The sequence below is a fragment of the Homo sapiens genome, chromosome X (genome assembly GCF_000001405.40).
Source record: "Homo sapiens chromosome X, GRCh38.p14 Primary Assembly".
Lineage (NCBI taxonomy): Eukaryota > Metazoa > Chordata > Mammalia > Primates > Hominidae > Homo > Homo sapiens.
The window spans coordinates 11,415,581-11,434,145 of record NC_000023.11 but is presented as its reverse complement, the minus strand read 5'-3'; the positions used below and the strand labels follow the sequence as shown (position 1 = coordinate 11,434,145).

Below are 18,565 nucleotides of genomic sequence, written 5' to 3'. Positions count from 1 at the left end.
GATGTTTAGCAGCATCTCTGGTCTCCACCCACTGGATGCAAGTGACACCCTTCCCCTGCAGTTGTGGCAGCCAAAGATAGCTTCAGATATTGCCAAGTTTCTCCTCAGTGGCAAAATTTCCCCTGTTGAGAATCACTGGCCTAGGAGGTGTGGATGGGACACCAGCAATCTAATGAATGGGCCTGATTTGTCAAAAAGAATCTCCACCTTGAAACATACTGGAATGACCTGCAAAGAGATTGGGGTCAACTACCATTTACATCTCAACTCCACCATTTATTAGGTATGCAAAACAGGTTAATTAACCTCATAAATAAAATTAAGATAGTCATACTTTCCTTCCCAGTTGTTCTGAGGATCCAGATGTTTGCAAAGCATCTAGTTGAGCCTGTGATGTAGGTGCTTAATGAATAGTGGAATTGTTACCATTTCAAACAATAATTCTAGCACCTGCGGTGTTGGCGTTGTCATGGGAATTCTGCAGGCTTTAGACAACTGAAACACTGTGCAACTGTGCAGAAGAAAGGAGATTATGATCAGAGGAATGAAGGCAATAGACTAACATTAGATTATGGATATAAATGAAAAATCATTTCTTAATTCCCAAATGGTTATTTGGAAAGTCGTAGCTGGAGAAATTGCGGCCTCTCCTTTTTGCCTAATGACCCTTGAATAGAACATATATATTAGAAATGTCTCTTTTTAGGCACTTTTTAAGGATACCCTCCCTGGCTCTGTGGCATGGAGTAGAAATTCTTCAGTGAAAATATCAAAACGGCAAAAAACAAGATAAACCAATAATACCAAATAGAACCTACTGTAATGGTCATTTATTTCCTCACCCTTCCTCACTTGTTTTCTTTCCCTGAATTCTCGGATTATCATATTCTCGACTCCAATTGATGCATAACTTTATGATATTCTTTGTACTAGGGTTTGAGGCCAAAGACAATGGTACTATGCTGTGCCAGGATGTTCTCCTCTCTCTTCTCCATCTCTCCTATGTGACTGCAGCTCCAGCTGCAGGAATTCCTCCTTCACTGGTCTTCAGCCCAGCTGTCTTCAGGCTGGGGGTTGTCTCCTTAAACTTACCTGGAAAAAGGAATGAGAACCTTCATTCTTCCTTAGATTTCTTCTATCTCCATATCCCTGGAAGGGTTAAGAGGGTGGGAAGAAATTATGGCTATAGAGTAAAATGATAATTCCTGAAATGGCATATATGTTTACAGTTATCAGGCTGAGATTTTACCCCCACTTTGCTGAAATTCTGCCTAATGAGATGTCCTCCCTCAAAAGCACATTCAGTGTATCCATTGCTCCTGTCTGTGCGTGTGGGTGAAGTCGGCCTTATCACTGCCAATGCCAGGGCCTTAGCAGGGCTGGTAGGTCCTTCACTTACAGGAGACACATGATTTCAGCCAAGGAGGGCCTTAAGCTGCTACTCCAGCTCTCCTTTCTGATCCTGGAGTTTGATTTCCTTAATTTCATCTTTGTAGCCCCATGAAAAAGACTTAAAAAAGAGACAACTCTAAACTGTGTTCAGTCTTCATATAAACTGTGTTCAGTCTGTTTATACAATAGTGTAAATAAAGATTCTAATTAATACAGTTTGGAAAACTGTTAGGCATTGTCTAGTAAAGTTGAAGATATGCATGCCTATGACCCAGCAATTATATTCCTGGGTTTGGACCCTATAAAAATGCATGCACATATGCACAAGGAGATATGTATAATGATGTTCAAGCAGTGTGGTTTTCAGTGGTCCAAGATTGAAAAGGACATAAATGTCCATCAACAGTTACAAAGATAAATAGTAATAAACACATATAATGGAGTACTAGACAGCAATTGGAATGAACAAACAACAGCTACATACAGCAAACATGGATGAACCTCAGAAACGGAATGTTGAGCAAAAGAAGTCAGCTATAATAAAAACATACTTATGAATCTGTTTACATAAAGTTAGGAAACAGGCAACACTAAGCTCTAATATTTATGGATGCCTGACTTCCTAAAAGGCAGTGGATTTCAACCAGGGGTGATTATGCCTTTCCCCACTCCCTGGGGGACATCTGCAATATCTAGAGTCATCTTTGGTTGCCACAATTGGCGTAGGGGGAATAATACTGGCATGTAGTGGGTAGAGGCTGGGGATGATGCAAAACATTCTGCAATGTCCAGCCTCTACCATAAAGAATGATTGGTTCCCAAATGTCAAGAGTGCTGGGGTTGAGAAACCCTGCTGTAAAAGGGAAGTGAAGAAGTGAAGTCATGACAGTGTCTACCACTGGGATGGAGGAGGGAAATACAGCCAAGGGACATGGGGGTCTAGGGTACTAGCAATATTTTAATTTTTGACCTCAGTGAAGGTTAGACAGGTGAATGTTTTGTAACAATTCATTAAGCTGCACATTATATGCTATTGATTTTTCCATTTCAAAATGTTAAAAATACTCCAGGGGCTAGATTAACAGGACAATAGGATGGCATAGTGTGGGCACTGGGTTTGGGGGAGGGGATTCCCCATCTTAGAGGGTCTCATAGTAACTCTGTTAACAATGGTGGGGCTGGGCCTTCAAGAAGGGCCTGTCCTGCCATCTGAAGTGATTTTTAGTACTCAGATGGGCCCTCAGCTCTTCCTACACTCTGAAGTTGAATTTGCTTCCACAGATTTGGGTAAAGTTTTTCTGAAAAAAGTAATCACCCTTGCATTGGCATTAACTGTGGAAAATTTTAACTCAGCCTATAGGCAGGCAGAATAAATGCAAACAAGTATTTTAATTTAAATGCTCTGGCAGAAAGGGCAGCATTCAGTTCTGGAAATGCTGTAATGTTTAGGGACAGGAAGACATGGAAATTCCACAGTTAGCAGGGCACGTTTTCTCTTAAAGGTGATGCTAGTAGAGTAACTCATACAGATTATTTTTAAGTCCTCTCTGGGGTGAATGATAAACATCAGATAAATTTATTATTTTTTAAAAAAGAAAAACAAACAAAAAAGAACATTAGCCTAGCAGGCTCTTAACCAACAAATTGGATGAACTTCAGCCTCCTCTGAAGTGAGGTTTTATGTGCTTCTTGCTGCCTTTTTATCTCTCTCCATTACCCCAAAGGATCAAATGTGCATTTTAAAACCACATGCCATGTCAATATACAGTTTAGTTGACCTAGAACAATACCTGTGCATAGTATGCACTTAAAAATATTTATAAAGTGTGGAATGATAGACAATGGACACTCAGAAGGGCAGTGGGGTGGATGATGGTGAATTACTTAATGGGCACAATGTACATTCTTCTGGTGATGGATACCCTAAAAGCCCTGACTTCATCACCACACAATCTATCCATGTAATGAAATTACACTGTTACCCCATACATTTATACAAATTAAAATTTAAAATTTAAAATAATATTTGTTGAATAATGACCAAGTGAACAAATAACATGGGAAGGATACTTGGAAGTAGAGATATGCAAATAAGAAATTTTGATTAGAGTGGTGTTTTAAATATACCCTGAAATATATTTAAATGAAATAATGAATAATGTGTGAAATTCAAATTGTTTAAGATTGAACAGACTTCTTAGAGTTCTGCATGATCTTCTAGATCCTTTCTGGAGCTTTGAGCCTTACACAATTGGACTAAGAATTGAAGGAGGTGGATGATTCATTCCAAGGTGATTTAAGAGTCTTGCAGCATGAACTGATCATTTCTTTAGGTGCTTTGCCCAATCTCACAAACTCTTCAAACACAGAGAAAAAACAATCCTATTGCACTTGAACATTTTACTCCAACTTAGCTATGACACTTTAGCAATAAATAATGCTAGAAGGCAGAAGTCATTCCTAAAATGTAAGTACACAGTGTGGGGCTGATGGAGTATTTTTGGCTTACAAGAATGTCATTTAGTGACTTACTACATTTTTGAAAGAAAGAATACAAACCAAATCCAGGATGACCCAGTTTTAAGAGGTGACTTACTCAGGGGTAATGATCAAAAGGCTATGGTTAAGGTTTTAAGACCCAGGGATCCACCTTGTGTTGTTTAAATATATTCATAATTAAATAGTATTTGTAGGGAAAGGGATTTTTAGCTTCAGGGGCTTAAAGGCAAGCGTGATGGAAGAAAAAGTCCTAAGGCTGGAGTGTTCACCTTTATGAATAGACCACAGTGAAGTGAAAGTCCCTAAACTGGGGCTTGTCTAGGCCATTGAATTACATCTGTACACACGTGCCCCCATCAGGCTGCCCTGGCTGCAATTCTCTGAAAGATGCCAGATGGTGAAGCTCAAGCTGGTTCTCTGTCTTATTCTGAGGATCTTTGATGACTTTGCTCTAAAGGTTGCTTTTAGCAGCAGAACAGAGTGAGAGTAAAGAGGGAACTTTAGTGTGTCATTTTTCGAGCTCTGCCTGGACATGTCACAGAGCAAGGAAGGCCTCCAAGGTCAATGGGCATGCTCATTTCTCCTACAAAGCAGAAGAAAGGAGACTTGGGTAGATCAGGCTGTGGGAGAATGAAAGACTTGGGCAAATAGTTCAATTGACTTTCTCATAAGACAGGCAACACTGTTTGGAAGTTCCTGGGTTTGGCAAGGGATTGATTTTAAATTTATTTTTATTTTTATTTTTTATTTTTGCAGTATAAAATACATGTAGTGAAGGGTGTAAATTACACTAGTCTGAACTGTACTGCACAGTGAATGTTTACATATGGGTGTACTCTAGTAGCTGCCATACAGATCAAGATATAGATCATTTCCAGCACCCTAGAAGGTTCCCTTGTACCACCTTCCTAGTCAATACCACCTTCCCACTTTGGTAACCACTGTTATGACACCTATTACCATGGATTCCATTTGCCTATTGCACTTAAACATTTGAATTTCAGTTGCAGAATAAATAAGTGAAATCTTACAGTATGTACACTTGTGTCTGATTTCTTTCTCCCAACATAATGTTTGTGAGATTAATCCATTTGTTCTGTGCATCAGTAGCATTTTCCTTTTTATTGCTGAATAGTATTCCATCATGTGCACAGACTACAGTTGGTTTGTCATGCATCAGTTGGTGTACATTTGGATCGCTTTTATTTGGGGCAATTATGCCTCAACACAGTATGAGCATTCTGGTATATGATGAGATTATTGTACTCTGTATATCTAGGGGTGGAATTTGCTGGATTGGAAGGTAGGCCTATGATTGACTTTAGCAGATATAACCATCCAGTTTTCCAGGTGGATAAACTGTCATGGGACTATCTAATGGTAGATTCCTCAGGCCACTTGCACCCCTGGCTTCACATTCCCACTGCTAATTATAATTATGCTGTGATTGTTTTAAAATATTACATGCCAGTGGATGGTTCATTCAACTAAATTGTAAGGGCTGAAATTCCGGGGCCACATCCAACTTTCCTCCCCTCTCCTCCCCTCTCCTCTTACACAGAGCAAGTGGAGAGTCATTCAGCCGGTTCAGTACAGTGGGACCCTGACAAACTGGCACAAGCTACCCCCAAGCACATCTTCCACTTTGTAGCCACCCCTCTGGGGCTTGCATTGATTGATTCATGAGTCTGGAGTCTCTACTCTGGCCCCAGGCCTGGCCTTCCTCTGGGCTCAACTTGTGGGAGGCTGGACGTAAATTACAGAAGGACAAGGCTGTGGAGGGAACTCGCTGATCTTCTCCAAGGTGTTTTAAAGTGCAGGTTTCCATGAGGGGATTTCAGAGCAGAGGCCAGTTTTAAGGGTTATTGTGAACCTACAGAATGTGCCCTGCAAGCCCCCCTGGAACTCGGGTCACCCTAAGTGACCAGCATCCTGGGCAGCCTTGTCCCCGCAGCAGTTCTCCTGGGTAGCATGACTTGGTTCCTCTCAGTCCTGCCCTCCCCAAGGGTCCCCACAATTTGAGACTCTCACAGAAGAAGGCTTTCTAGAAAGGGAAACTCTGCCCTCCCAGGAGAAGGCTCTGAATCTCCTTCCACTGTCAGGCCCACACCTCCTTCAAAGTTAGTGAAAGTCTCTCTTTCTTGGAAACCCAAGTTCGCCTTCTCGCTGGCATTAAAGGCTTTGGCAGTCCCCGCCTCAGCAGCCGGGGTCCCACGGGTCCGGGGAGGGTGGGGTGGCAGGAGGCAGGCGTGCCGGCCAGCCTGACACCTGTCGTGGGCGCGTTCGGCCTCCGCAGCCCCCAACAGCTGTCAGCGGCGGCGGCCGCCGGAGGGACCCGCCAGGAGCGGAAGGAATTAAACGCCCGCCCATCGCATCAGACTCGGCCGCTCCCTCCTCCTCCTCCTCCTCCTCCTCCTCCTCCTCCTCCTCCTCCTCCTCTTCCCCCTCCCCCTTCGCGCCGCTGCCTTCTCCAGGTCCCCACCGGCTCCGCAGCGGCAGCGGGACGCTGTGCCAGGGGCGCTTTGCACAGCACTCGGCACGCACGGAGCAGGGCTCGCGCCCAGGGGCTGCCCCAGGATGGCAGTGAAGTGCGGGGAACTCAGAGAGACACCGTGACCCCAGGCTGAGCCCAAGGCGCGCCACTCCTCCCGGAGGCGACATGGGGCACCCGGTGTACCGCGGCGAGAAGCCCCAGCTGCACTACGCGGTGAGTGTCCTGACGCGTGCAGAGGACACAGGGGGCGCCACTGGGCCGCTCCGGGTGGGGACTGCGAGGGGCGATGGTAGTCGGGGCTCCCCACAGGTCCACGGCTGAGGGGGTGGCGGGTGGCCGGGTACGTCACCCCGAAGTGCCACCTGCTCACTAACTCAGTGGCGCTTCCCGAAATCTTTTAGAAGGTACAGGGGAGCCCCAACCCTGAATTCAGTGTTTCTTTGCCCCAACGCTGTGGTCACTGCATCTGGGACGGGGCTGGACTCCGCCACCACCTCGCTGACAAAGGCTGACAAATGGGGTTCCTGGGGTTAGGCCTAGGTCGCTCATTCAGCCTTCAGTCAGATATGTTGAAAGGACGAGAATAAGACTGGACAGGAGGCAGGGCCGCTTCATGATCTCAGTGTGCGGCGAGTGGATTTGCTGAAGAAATGCTGCCGGGAGCGTTGGGGTGCAGCCGTTTCACTCCTTAGAAAGGGAGTGCATTTCCCTCCTACTTTGTGGCGGGACAGAATGTTGCACATTATCATTAATGTTGCACGCTAATACAAGAGAATACCAGGGGCTCTTCTGTCGTACCTTCCCCCTCCCTTATGGTGGCTTCTGTTCTCCCTGTTGATACAAAGATTTACTGGGGACCTACTGTGTGCCAGGGACTGCGCTAGGTGCTGCAGGTACTGCAGGAAACACAACAGAGAGAAAGCTCATGGGATTTGCCTTCTTTGAAGAAGGAGTCAAGATTTTAAGGTTAACGACCGACCAAATCCAGATACTAGATGAGTATATTCTTTGAGAGAGAGAAAAGAAAGGAAAGAAGGAAAAAAGGAAAGTTGTTTCTGAGGAATGACTACTACTTCTGAAGATTTCAAATGCCCCCTCCAGGAAGGGGGCAGGGAGAAGGTTTACCTTATTCCAGTCTTCAGACATTGATTTTCCACGTGTGAGATGTGTCGTTTTGAGATGAGACACTGCAGTTGTTCTGTCATCTGCTAATTTACTGAGTTTTCCTTGAATTGATTTGCACTGTTGAGACTGGACGTTCTGACTGCCAACTTTAAAAATTGGAGAGAAGCAGGCAGAGAGTTGACAAGAATCATTAATATTTATAATCAGGCAAAGACAGTTAACTGTCTGGAATTCGTGTCTTCCAAAATCCAGTCCCCAACATAAAAAAAAAAAAAATTGTTTTTTTGAAGAAAGGAGTAGAGGTGGACAGGGGTGGTGGACTCAGGCATCCCGGAGCTGCTCCAGTTGGTTCCTGGTGTCACCTCGGGGCTCCTGGATTAATTGCAGGGCCATTGGGCAAATTGCACACCTCGTACACTTCGCTTTCCTCCACTGGAAAAATGAAGACCTGAATTAGGAAATTGTTAAGATACCTTCCCAGGCAAACGTTCCAGGAACCTGTAACAGCTCTTTCTCTGGTTTTTCTATAGTTACTTGTCTTGAAACACCAAATGAGATACTTGTAAGTTACTAATGCTCGTTCATCTGTCTTGGAGACACCGGTGGCTCAGTGATTTGCCTTTTAAAGTAGTTTAAAGGGTAACCACTTTTCAACAGAGGTTGCTTTACACTGAAGGAAGTAGAGTCTGTGCTCATTGTGCCCATTCAACATCTCCACCCCACCACCTTTTTGAACTGTGTGCTGGTACCCTTTGATTCATGATCTGAGGTCTTTGCCATTTGCAAGAGTGCGGGTGGGGGAGGAAAGGTGAGAACGGGCTCCTTAATTTTAAAAAAATCTATTCATTCAATGAATGGTTATTGCCTCAATTATGTAAATATATTACAAAAATATTTTAAAATTGTCATTTAATTAGGCTGTCTGATTCTTCTAAAATCATAAACTGAAGAGTCAAGCCGATGCTAATGTCCCCTCTTGGGGCTCTGAAGACTGCTGATGAAATAGCCCTTTATTCTAGTACAGATTATCATGTATGTATATTCTGGTTTAAGACTATAAAAAGGAAGATTCCAGAGGGAATTTGTTGGGATTCCAGGTTGGAATAAGTCACCCGGGCTCTCTGAAGTTTCCTATGCATACTTTAGGATGAGAAAGCAGCAGCTCTGAATCAGTCACGTGTCCAGAGAATGTTCTTTATTAAGTGCGACCCATTGTTTTTCATATTAGTATAACCCTTGGTGGTATAATATCTATTCTAACGCTGCACTTTTGTTTACTTCCCTCATTTGGGTTTTGATAATTCCAGAGCTTGTTTTGCCGTTTAGCACAAATATTCCACTTACTTTGCTCAACAGGGTTTTGTCCCACTGTGCATTTTCCTGTGATCTTGGGTTTTTTTTGGGTCTGTCTTCCTTGACATGAATGACCCTCCATGTGTCCTTAATACCTCCTGCCTCCTCTGAAATATAATTCGGGGATAAGTATGTAATGCTCTTCCTTCAGTGCTTTTTCGTTTGTCCAAGGTGAGACTGCATATAAGAGGTCAGTGGCTCACATTTGATTCATTCAATAAACATTTGTTGAATGCCTGTTGTGTTCCAGGTATTTGGTCAATTTTCCAAAGAGACAGTTAGATAGTGAAAATGTTAGGAGTTGCTATGGACATCTCACTCATCTTTTTAAATGGTCATAATGGTCACAGAGAGCAAAATGCAATTAACTAGACAAGAACATCCTCCATTTACATAAACAGACATTTTCAAAGTATAATACAACTGTCTTCTTGCTTTATCATCACACACAGAAAATAATGTGTGTTAGCAGCTAATGTTCTCCTCAAAAAATTTCCTCCTACAGTTTTCCCACGTTCAGATTATGGTGACTCCGTCCTTCCAGCTGGGTGTTGTCCTTGATGCCTTTTGGTGACTGAATCAGATTTACATTTTGAAATGATCCCAGTATGGAGTGAGGATGAGGAGGAGCTAGAGTGCATCCTGGTATTTGGGCCTGGGAGAGATTCGAGAAGATGACTGATGCTAGGGTGGCAGCTGGGTAGGAGGTTGAGAGCAGTTGGCATATTGGAGAGATGCTTAGAACATAGAACCTGTCAGACTTAGTTTGGATGGGATAAAGAGGTGATAGAGTATGAAGGATGAGGATGACATGAATGAATCAATGATTTTCTGGCAGCATTTCTAGAGAAGCTCTTGAAGTTTATATAATAAGCAAATAGTCATAATGATATTTCCCTCCTTGTTACTGTCTTATACAGATTGCAAAATATTTGAACACAGTCTAGGTCAATTTCAGTCTGAAATCCAATTGCTGCCTTATGCAGGTTTTCTGTTTCCTGATTGAAGAAATCTAAGCTCAGAACAGTAGAATTCAAGGCAGCACATGTGTCGCTGCTGACAGAACTGAGAGCTTTATCCAGGTGCCCTGATCCTGCAGTGCTCTTCTGAGTCATTTAGACAATGAGGATAGTCGAACCTAATCATCCCTCTGCGATCCACTTTGCCACAGTAATAAACCAACAACCAAATGTTGGACCTTCAGTGACTTAATGTGACTATCTGTATTGTCAAATTGCATGGCCAAATAGCTTTTAAATTTGACTAGTGTAGACAAAAACTAAAAATTTAAGTATCCATTAAGTTCAATGCAATATCTTTATGTCTTTCTGAAAGACACTAAAAAAAATCTGGATTAAAAGCTTGGCCTTGTGACTTACTGGGGACCTTAGGAGGCTCAAGCTCTTCTCTCCTGGTGCCCCAACCTGTCTTTACCCTCAAGTGGGGCAGAGAAAAGCAAATCAGTGTCCATTATACAGTCACCATCAGGAATCCCTGGACTGACATCATTCATTTCTCTCTCGCTGGCAGGTTGAAAACTTGCTGGGAGTAGTACTATGTGTGTCTTGTCCCTGCTGTCACCTGGACACCTAGCAGAGTGCTGGAAGCACAGTAGGTGCTCAGTAGAAATGTGTTGAATGACTTCATGAATCTAGTAGTTGAGACCTAGTTTTTGAGGTCCTAAGCTGCTCATTCTCCTTCCTTGTACTGGTCTAGTCTGAGCTCCTCTGCTGCTGATGTCACTTCCTGTTTGGTGTGGTCACTGCACCATCTGTGCTTTTGACCACAGCCTTGTAATCAGATGCTGACTCTGCCCTTGCTCCAGTTAACCCCTTCCTAAGGAACTCACCAGAAGTGCCAAGCTGCTTACCCTGACAGAGAACCTGTTTTCACATAGAATGGAAACTATGAAAGTTTCCACGTTTGTTCTCTATGAACATTCAATTTTCAAAGACTTTGAAGTCATTAAGTTTGCTTAATAATTGAGTGGTATTGAATACAGGATACTCTCTGGTAATTCTGAAGATGCCCAGAACTGGGCGCCGTTGCAGGCCTATGCTGATATGAATCAGTTATCATCCATCGGTGCTAACAGTGTAGACATCTTAGGAAACTCAGCAGAACTTATACTGACCTGTGGCATGGCCCAGAACTTACTTTTATAAAACCATTTTTATATTACTCTGGTTGTCATTTGTCTCCTCATAAAAGCAAAATTTTTTCAACTTACAAATATGTGAGAGATTATTGAATCCTCTTAATTGACACCTCTACTAATTGTAGATACCTTTTCTACTCCCACCCCCAACCTGGCATGCTTACTTTTCTGCTGCATGCAGAAATTTTCCTGGATGAGGCCTCTTTGGTGTGGAAGCCCCATCATCTTAGGAAGCTACATCTCCCCTCCTTCAAACCACTCATTAAGTACCACTACTAATTGATAAAAAATCAGATTCCTGTTGGATGTTGCATAGCAGACATCTCTGCCAATCATTTGAAAACAATTACCACCCTTTGCCTAGTCCTTTCTGGTGATGAACTTTTATTATTTACTTTTCCTGTTCCCACATTGTGATAACCCTGGACCACACACACATGACTCTCAACTTGGTTGTGAAATTATTGTCCAGTCATACAAAGTCTTCATTGGGTTCTTGATTCCTCACTTCCCTGTCACCTGTTTCATTCTCAGACTTTCCCATCTCAGTGAGTGGTTGGCTGTCCCTATGGCCAGTGCAATCTTTTTAAAAGGTAATGAAATAGTGACATTTCAGTGCTTAAGCTCTTTGGTTGGTTTCCATTCCACTTAGAATAATAGCTTCATCCATGACCTTGACCTTCCAAGTGCTCCTTACATGGTCTTCTCTGCCTCATACCACACCCCACTCCACAAGCTTATCATTGCCTGGCCACATCTGTGCCCTTTCTGTTCCTCAAATGCGACCAGTTCTTTTCTGCCCCAAGCCTTTGTACTTGCTGTCCCTTCTGCCTGGAATGTCCTCTGTGTGATAGGCTTTTTTTTTTTACATCCTTCAAATTGCAGGAAAAATGTCGCCTTTCCTGACTGCTTTCTCTGAAGTGTTTCTGAGCCCACTCAGTTACCCTGGATCATATCACACTAGCCACTTCCCTCATTGTTCACATCACCACTTGGTATTATATTATATATTCATTGTTTGTCTGTCTCCTCTGACTAGTGTGTAAGTTTATTCAGGGCAAGGACCCAATGATCCTTTCCCACTGTCTTTCCACTGCCTTAGAGCAGGTCCTGGCACAGGGTAGGCATACAATAAATATTTATGAGAACATGAATCTGGCTGCCTGTGTATTTTTCCCTAGGTTACGCTAGGACTTTCCAAACTTAACCCTTTATTAGTTGATGATTGAGGTCAGAGGGAGAGACGAGACTAAAAATTAGCTTTCCAGTTTCACTGAATTCTTACTAAACGAGAATCTCTAAGGACCAGACTTGGAATCAATCCTTTGAAAAAGCTTTGGGGGTGGTTCCAATATCAGCTGGGTTTGGCAAACACTGATTAATTTACACGGTGAACCACTTACTACTCAAGCAGCCCCTACAAAATGTAGGATTCAGCAGCAAAGTAGATTCAGAAAGTGCAATACAATACTTCACCTCAGCTGACTCTGAGGTAATCTAGTACAAGTTTTCAGAGCAGTCCTTTGTTTTACCACCCAGTGTTCATTTCAGCCAAACTCTCTAATGATACAAAAGGTATAGGAATACTTCCTCTATATAATGTCATCTGGCAATATGTCCCTCGGTATCCATATTCTAGGTAAAATCGACCAGTGGTTCTGAACCAGAGGACCCTGGGCAATGTCTGGAGGCACTTTTGGTTATCATAACTGGCAGGGGTTGCCACAGGCATCTATTAAGTAGAGACCTGACATGTTGCTGAACATCCTACAAAGCACAACACAACCCAACAAGGAGTTGTCCAGCCTCAAATGTCAATAGTGCTGAGACAGAGAAACCCTGACTTAATTGTATCTCAGTAGATATCAAAATCTTAAATGTTTTTGAGAACAATTTTGTATGGCACTTTCTAAAATACATTATTCGTAGTTTCTTGGGTTTTCAGAGATAGAGGTGAGAAAATGTGAGTGAGCTTCCCTGGCTGTGAGTCACAGTTATGAACAGTGTGTTTCATACTGTGTGGGGATTACTCTGGAGAGGGTGTTGGTGGTCCTTCCAGAAGCCTCAGCATCTTGGGCTTTTTGTTTCTTCACTCCTCAATGCCAAAGCCCTTCCTAATCTTGGGTTAAAAAAATGTTTACTGTCTTCTCTCTCATGTCAGACATTAGCTAACTTCTTCCTTTATGACCGTCTAACAGCCTTGCCTAATTTGCCACCTCTCTTCTGATTTAGCCAGAATACCCGTTTAACAAATGTGTTAATCGTGGGCCTAAAATTAGAAGTTATAATCTCCAAATGAGGATGTGTGGAGTGCTCAGCAGCCTTGGTGTGTGGATGTGGGATCTGCATCTGTATGAAAGTGAGAAACTAGAGTGCCTGCTTCTGTCCCTACTCCTTGAGGATAATGACACAGACCGGCCTGCTCTGGGGAAAAGGGAAGAGTTGCTGAAAGAAAAGCCAAAGGAAAGAGGGAGGGAAACAGTGGCTCCCAGCGTTTCTCTCTCAATCACATCAGGGTTCAAAATCTCCTGAGCAGCCCAGGGTGGCAGGCGGGTTTGTGGCCTACCTGTTCTCCCATTGAATTGCAGAGCCCGTTCTTAACTCCTGGCCATGTCACTGCATGTCCATTAGCATGGTCTGTTTTAGATTGTGAGTTACGAGATGATGGGGAGGGTGGGGATAGATTTAACGGTCTTGGGTGCTTGCCACATTTTGGACTGAGACCACTGTTTACAAACACAATTAATTAATTTAATATCTTTTAATGTACTTTCTGTTCTCAGGTTTTCTCATTCTAACCTTATTTTCAAAAGACCAATTTTTCTGATTTATTTTATTCTTAAATATACCCTGAATACTTAAAAACGTAAAGGTAGATCCAGTGATGCAACAAGGACTCCCACCAGTCATTATGTGGTACTGCTTTCACTATCTTTGTGGTGACTACTTGGATGTGAATATGGGATACTTTTCAATACAAGAAACATATACAAAATATAAGCCAAATTTTTTCATTCAAATACAGTTACTGTTACTGAAGACTCTTCCACTTCCAATTTCCTTGAAAGATGCCATGACTCTTTCAAATGAAAACCTGTCAGGCTTGTTCTCCTCTTCTCTTCGGATACTTGTCATTTTCTTAGAACTTTTCTAACATAAAAAAAAATCTTATAGTAAAATTTGAGTGTTTGGGATGTCAGCTAAATTAGATTTCTGAAATAACAATTTTAGAAGAATTTGGAGTTGTGGCTTTAGAGAAAAGTTGCCATGGCAACAGCAACAGAAGTAGTTTAGATGAATAAACTTTTAACATATTTTTGAATGACCCCTTTCTGCAGTTGACTGAAATATCTGGTAAAGAAATGTATAAGCCAGTCCAAGTGCAATACAGAGGCTAAAAGCATCTCAGCACTTTGTGGAGCACGTGGGCTCCATATTTGCCAAGCATCTCTGTGCCAGGTGGGTGCCTCTCCACATGGGCACAAATCCCTGGACATTGCTCTAGGTTCCTAGCTTGGTGATGCCATGTTAATTAGACCCACAGATGAATAATAGATTAGCAAGGGTATGGAACATTGAGTTTGCTAGAATGATTTGAAAATGGTAACATAACACATAGTATTATTTCTGTGGGTATCTATGCACATGACTTTCAACAGTTCCATTCATGTTAAGATGCCATTTCGATGGTCTGAGCAAAATGCAAAACACGGTCTTAACTTTTATCTCAAAAGTTAAGGCATCCTCCCACATTAGCTACTGATTCACAGTCAAGGGCTTTGTGTCGATCAGGATCCAAACAGGAAACAGATAAATCACTCAAAAGGCTTAATTTGAGGAATGAACTACGCCAATGTGTTGACAGGTTTAAAGGAACCAACGGTGAGTGGTGAAGCACCCAGCAATTAGCAACACTGAGAAGCTGTTACCAGGGAGGGACCAGCGTTACCAGAGCCCACTGACTTGCAGCCTTGGCTGGAAGGGACCCTGGCAATGTGTCCAGAGAAGACTCCAGCAAGGGCAAAATACAGAGAAGCAGGGATAGACTGGAACAGTAAATACTCTGACTTCTTGGTCTCCCTGTTCTCCATCTCCTTCTGGGCCCAAGCCCAGCCAATCCAGTGAGACCAGCACAGAGAAGGGCAGAACATTTTATTTCCTATTTTTGTTGAGGGCTGGCGGGAGGGGGGGTCGGTGTTGACAAACATAAAATATCATTACAAGCATTTTCAGTCTTGTTTGGGGTTTGCTTACATTTATGAAAGACCTTAAATTCCTAAGTATATAGAAGTCTCCCAAATTGCTTCAAATGTCTCTTTCTTCCACACTGTAGATTATTTTGACTACCACATTTAAAGTACTCAGGTGCTATGCCAGCTCCATCCATACGTGGTGTGCTTGCTTTTAAGGATTTTTATATCACAAACCTATTAAAGCATTTAGTAGAGAGTGATATATTCTACGTATATTTTGTCATTAATCTAATATTGGAAAGTTCATTACTTTAAAGTGCCCTGGTCTAAATTTATTAGTATTTATTAATATAATTCAAAATATGTAAATGTATTAATATAGACTACAATTAGATTTTTTTTCCCTCTAAGCCCATTAGGATAGTCTAATGTAATTTCCTTGCCAAACAAAGAAAAAGGAAGATTTGGTTTGGCTTTTTTTCTGGTTGATGGGTAAAGGGTTTTAACTCTTAAAATTGCACATCAACACAAATGGTCTAACCTGTGCTTGACTGAAAGGCAATTTTCATTTATCTCTGCTGGTCAAGGAATGGTTGCAGCTAAGTATTGCAGTTAAACCGCCCTGTACCCCAGTAAATTTTAGCAGAGAGAAAACTCTCATTTCAACCTGGACTGCAGAAAGTACCTCTTATTCTTAAGTTAGTTCCTCCTTGAGTCTTCTGTGCACCCACTTTCATAAATATTCATCCTGCTTCTTTGGAGACCATATTCACAACAGAACCAGAAAATCCAAAAGGACGCAGACCAGAACCAGGGACTATATTGTGTGTGACTCAATGCTTGGCCATTTATAGCATGTGCCTGATGCTTAGTATGTACTTGAGTGTCAATGAAATTAATCAGTGATTTAAAGCTCTCAGAAATATTTAGTCTGACTTAGAGTAATAATAATAGCCAATATTTATTGAATGCTCTCTATGAGTCCTGCTTATTCTACATATATTATCTCACTTAATCCTTAAAATAACCCTGTGAGATAGGTCCTATTATCCTCATTTAAAAGATGAGGAAACCAAAGCTCTGACCTTATGTCTGTTTCAGGGCCACACAGCTAGTACGTAGTGGGGCTGGGACTCAAATCCTTGTCTCTTAATTTGATTGCCAAGTCTGCATGCTTGAATCACTGTGCAGTGGGTGATTGTTGACATGCCATTGGCTTAAGGTGATACCTTTGAGGTAATACTTTTTAAAGCCTTTCATTTTGTAATAATTGAAGACTTATAAGAACTTGCAAAAATAGTACTGAGAGGTCCCATGTACCCCTTATCTAGCTTCTCTCAATGGTAGCATCTTATTTACACAATATCAAAACCATGAAGCTGACATTGGGACAATCCTATTAACTAGACTACAGATTCTCATTTTACCAGGTTTTTACATGCATTCTTTTATGTATGTATATATGCGTGCAGTTCTGTGCAATTTTATTACCTGTACAGACTGGCATATCCACTACCGCATTCAAAATACACAGCTGGTCCATCACCGCAAAAGCACTCCCCCCATGCTACCCCTTTGTATTCACATCCACCCTACTCCTGCCCTCATCCTGAATCTGGGCTACCACTGAACTGTCTCCATAAGATGACACATTTTAAATTCTTCCTCCTGTTCTTGCTGCACGGTGGAAACATTCCTGTCTCCATTGATTATTTACACCCAAAGCATCCATAAACATAACAGAAGAAAGTATGGTGAATTGATAGGGAGATCAGAGAGGATTTTGGTGTGTCCTTGTTGTCAGCAATGCATATATATGTATGTGTATATATATATATATATATATATATATATATATATATATATATATATGTACACACCCATATAAAGAACATCCTGTTTGTTATTTTTAGTTGAGGGTTTGAGGGTTGTGGTAATTTTATAATTCCAACACCTGTGTTTTCACTAGCAAACTGCTTTTGATTGAAACACGGCAGAGTTTATCTCCTGCGTAAATGCGGCACACTCCCTCTTTGCATGGCTGTTCTAACGGCACATCCATTTCTGGACCGACAACCGCGTGACTGAACTTGCAGCAGCCTGGAAAAGGTACATGAGAGCTGGCACTCTGCCCTTGTCAGGGTTTTCCAAAAGTATTTACGAACAAGGATAAACACGAGTCCTGCATGGATTTGAGGTAGCCATGACCGAGCTGGGCTCTGGGCAGCACAACAGTTACGTAAACCTTGGCATTCATGGCACACATGCATTTTTATTCATCCATTTCAAAGGGAGTGGCCGTTCGTAGACCTCTCTTGGGGAAAGGTTTGAACCTTATCATGATGAACTGGTTCAAAAAATCCTTAATAGCTGTTTTTATTCAGGATTGCTGAAGAGTGAAACCTTATCATCGGGACACAGTTAGAAAGACTTCCTGCATTTATTTGGTGCTCACTATTTTAAAAAAGGTGTCCAAACTGCTGATGCTGTCTGATTCTGCAAACATAGGCAAACTTACTAGATACTTCACATATTTCAGTTTTACCATATGATTATGACTTGATATTTATTAGAAAGGAAGAACATTTTTTAAATGTAGTCATACTGAGCCCAACTCTTGCTTTTAATGCAATTTAATTGCATTAAAATTAGACAGGTAATGTCACCATTACCACGCAGATACTTTGTATCACCCATTGCAAACATCTGTAAAGGATCAAAGGCTCATGTAGTGAGTCTAAGAGGAAACTTGGTTTGAGAATGAGGCCTTCCATGATATTTCTGTGCTGCCGCAGGTGGGGGAGGGCACATTTTTATTTAAGGCGTCATTAGAAAGGAATGAAATATAGAACTCCTAGCATGCATACATATATGCACATAGACACACAAAATCGTACTTTACCTTATAGCTGTGTTGTCTAAAATGTAGAAGTGTGTTTGTATCAGTTAGCTATCACCACACTAATGCTGTGTGACAAGCTACTCTGACATTCAGTGGCATAAAAAAACCATCACGGATCCTAGTGGATCTGTGGGTCGGTTAGGGTTGGCTTAGCTAGACAGAGCTCAGCTGTTTGACCAGAGGCCAAAGTGTCAAGGCTCTTCTGTCAATTCTGTCCCATGTGTATCTATCCTGGGGCCCAGGCTGGCAGCATCTACCCAAAGAAGTTCAGCAATGACAAAGGCACAAGATGGCAAGTGGGATCAACTGAAGACTCTTGAGACGTAGGCAGGAATTTGACACACTATTGTCTCCACCCACCTGCTACTGGCCACAGCAAGTCACATGTAAAAGCCTAACTTCAGTGTGTGGGGAAATGCACTCCTTCCATGATGGGGCTGTGGTAAGGA

The 18,565-nt window shown here is 42.2% G+C and overlaps 1 protein-coding gene and 1 long non-coding RNA gene across 5 annotated transcripts in view; one reads left to right on the top strand and one right to left on the bottom strand.

The window, feature by feature from the left end:
• ARHGAP6 (Rho GTPase activating protein 6) overlaps nucleotides 1-18,565 on the top strand; it is a 528,377-nt gene that overhangs the window by 231,775 nt on the left and 278,037 nt on the right. The window contains exon 1 of one of the 4 annotated variants that reach the window (NM_001287242.2): nucleotides 6,328-6,598. The exons of the other annotated variants lie outside the window; for them this stretch is intronic. Within the exon in view, the coding sequence (NP_001274171.1) occupies nucleotides 6,551-6,598 (48 nt within the window). The 5' untranslated portion in view covers nucleotides 6,328-6,550. Of the gene's footprint in view, nucleotides 1-6,327; nucleotides 6,599-18,565 lie in introns of those variants that run through there. 4 annotated transcript variants of the gene reach the window in all.
• Nucleotides 256-16,931, bottom strand: LOC124905246 (uncharacterized). Its single transcript, XR_007068392.1, has 2 exons — nucleotides 7,511-16,931; nucleotides 256-1,149 (listed from the first exon to the last, which is right to left on the bottom strand). It is a non-coding gene; the product is annotated as an uncharacterized LOC124905246 (long non-coding RNA).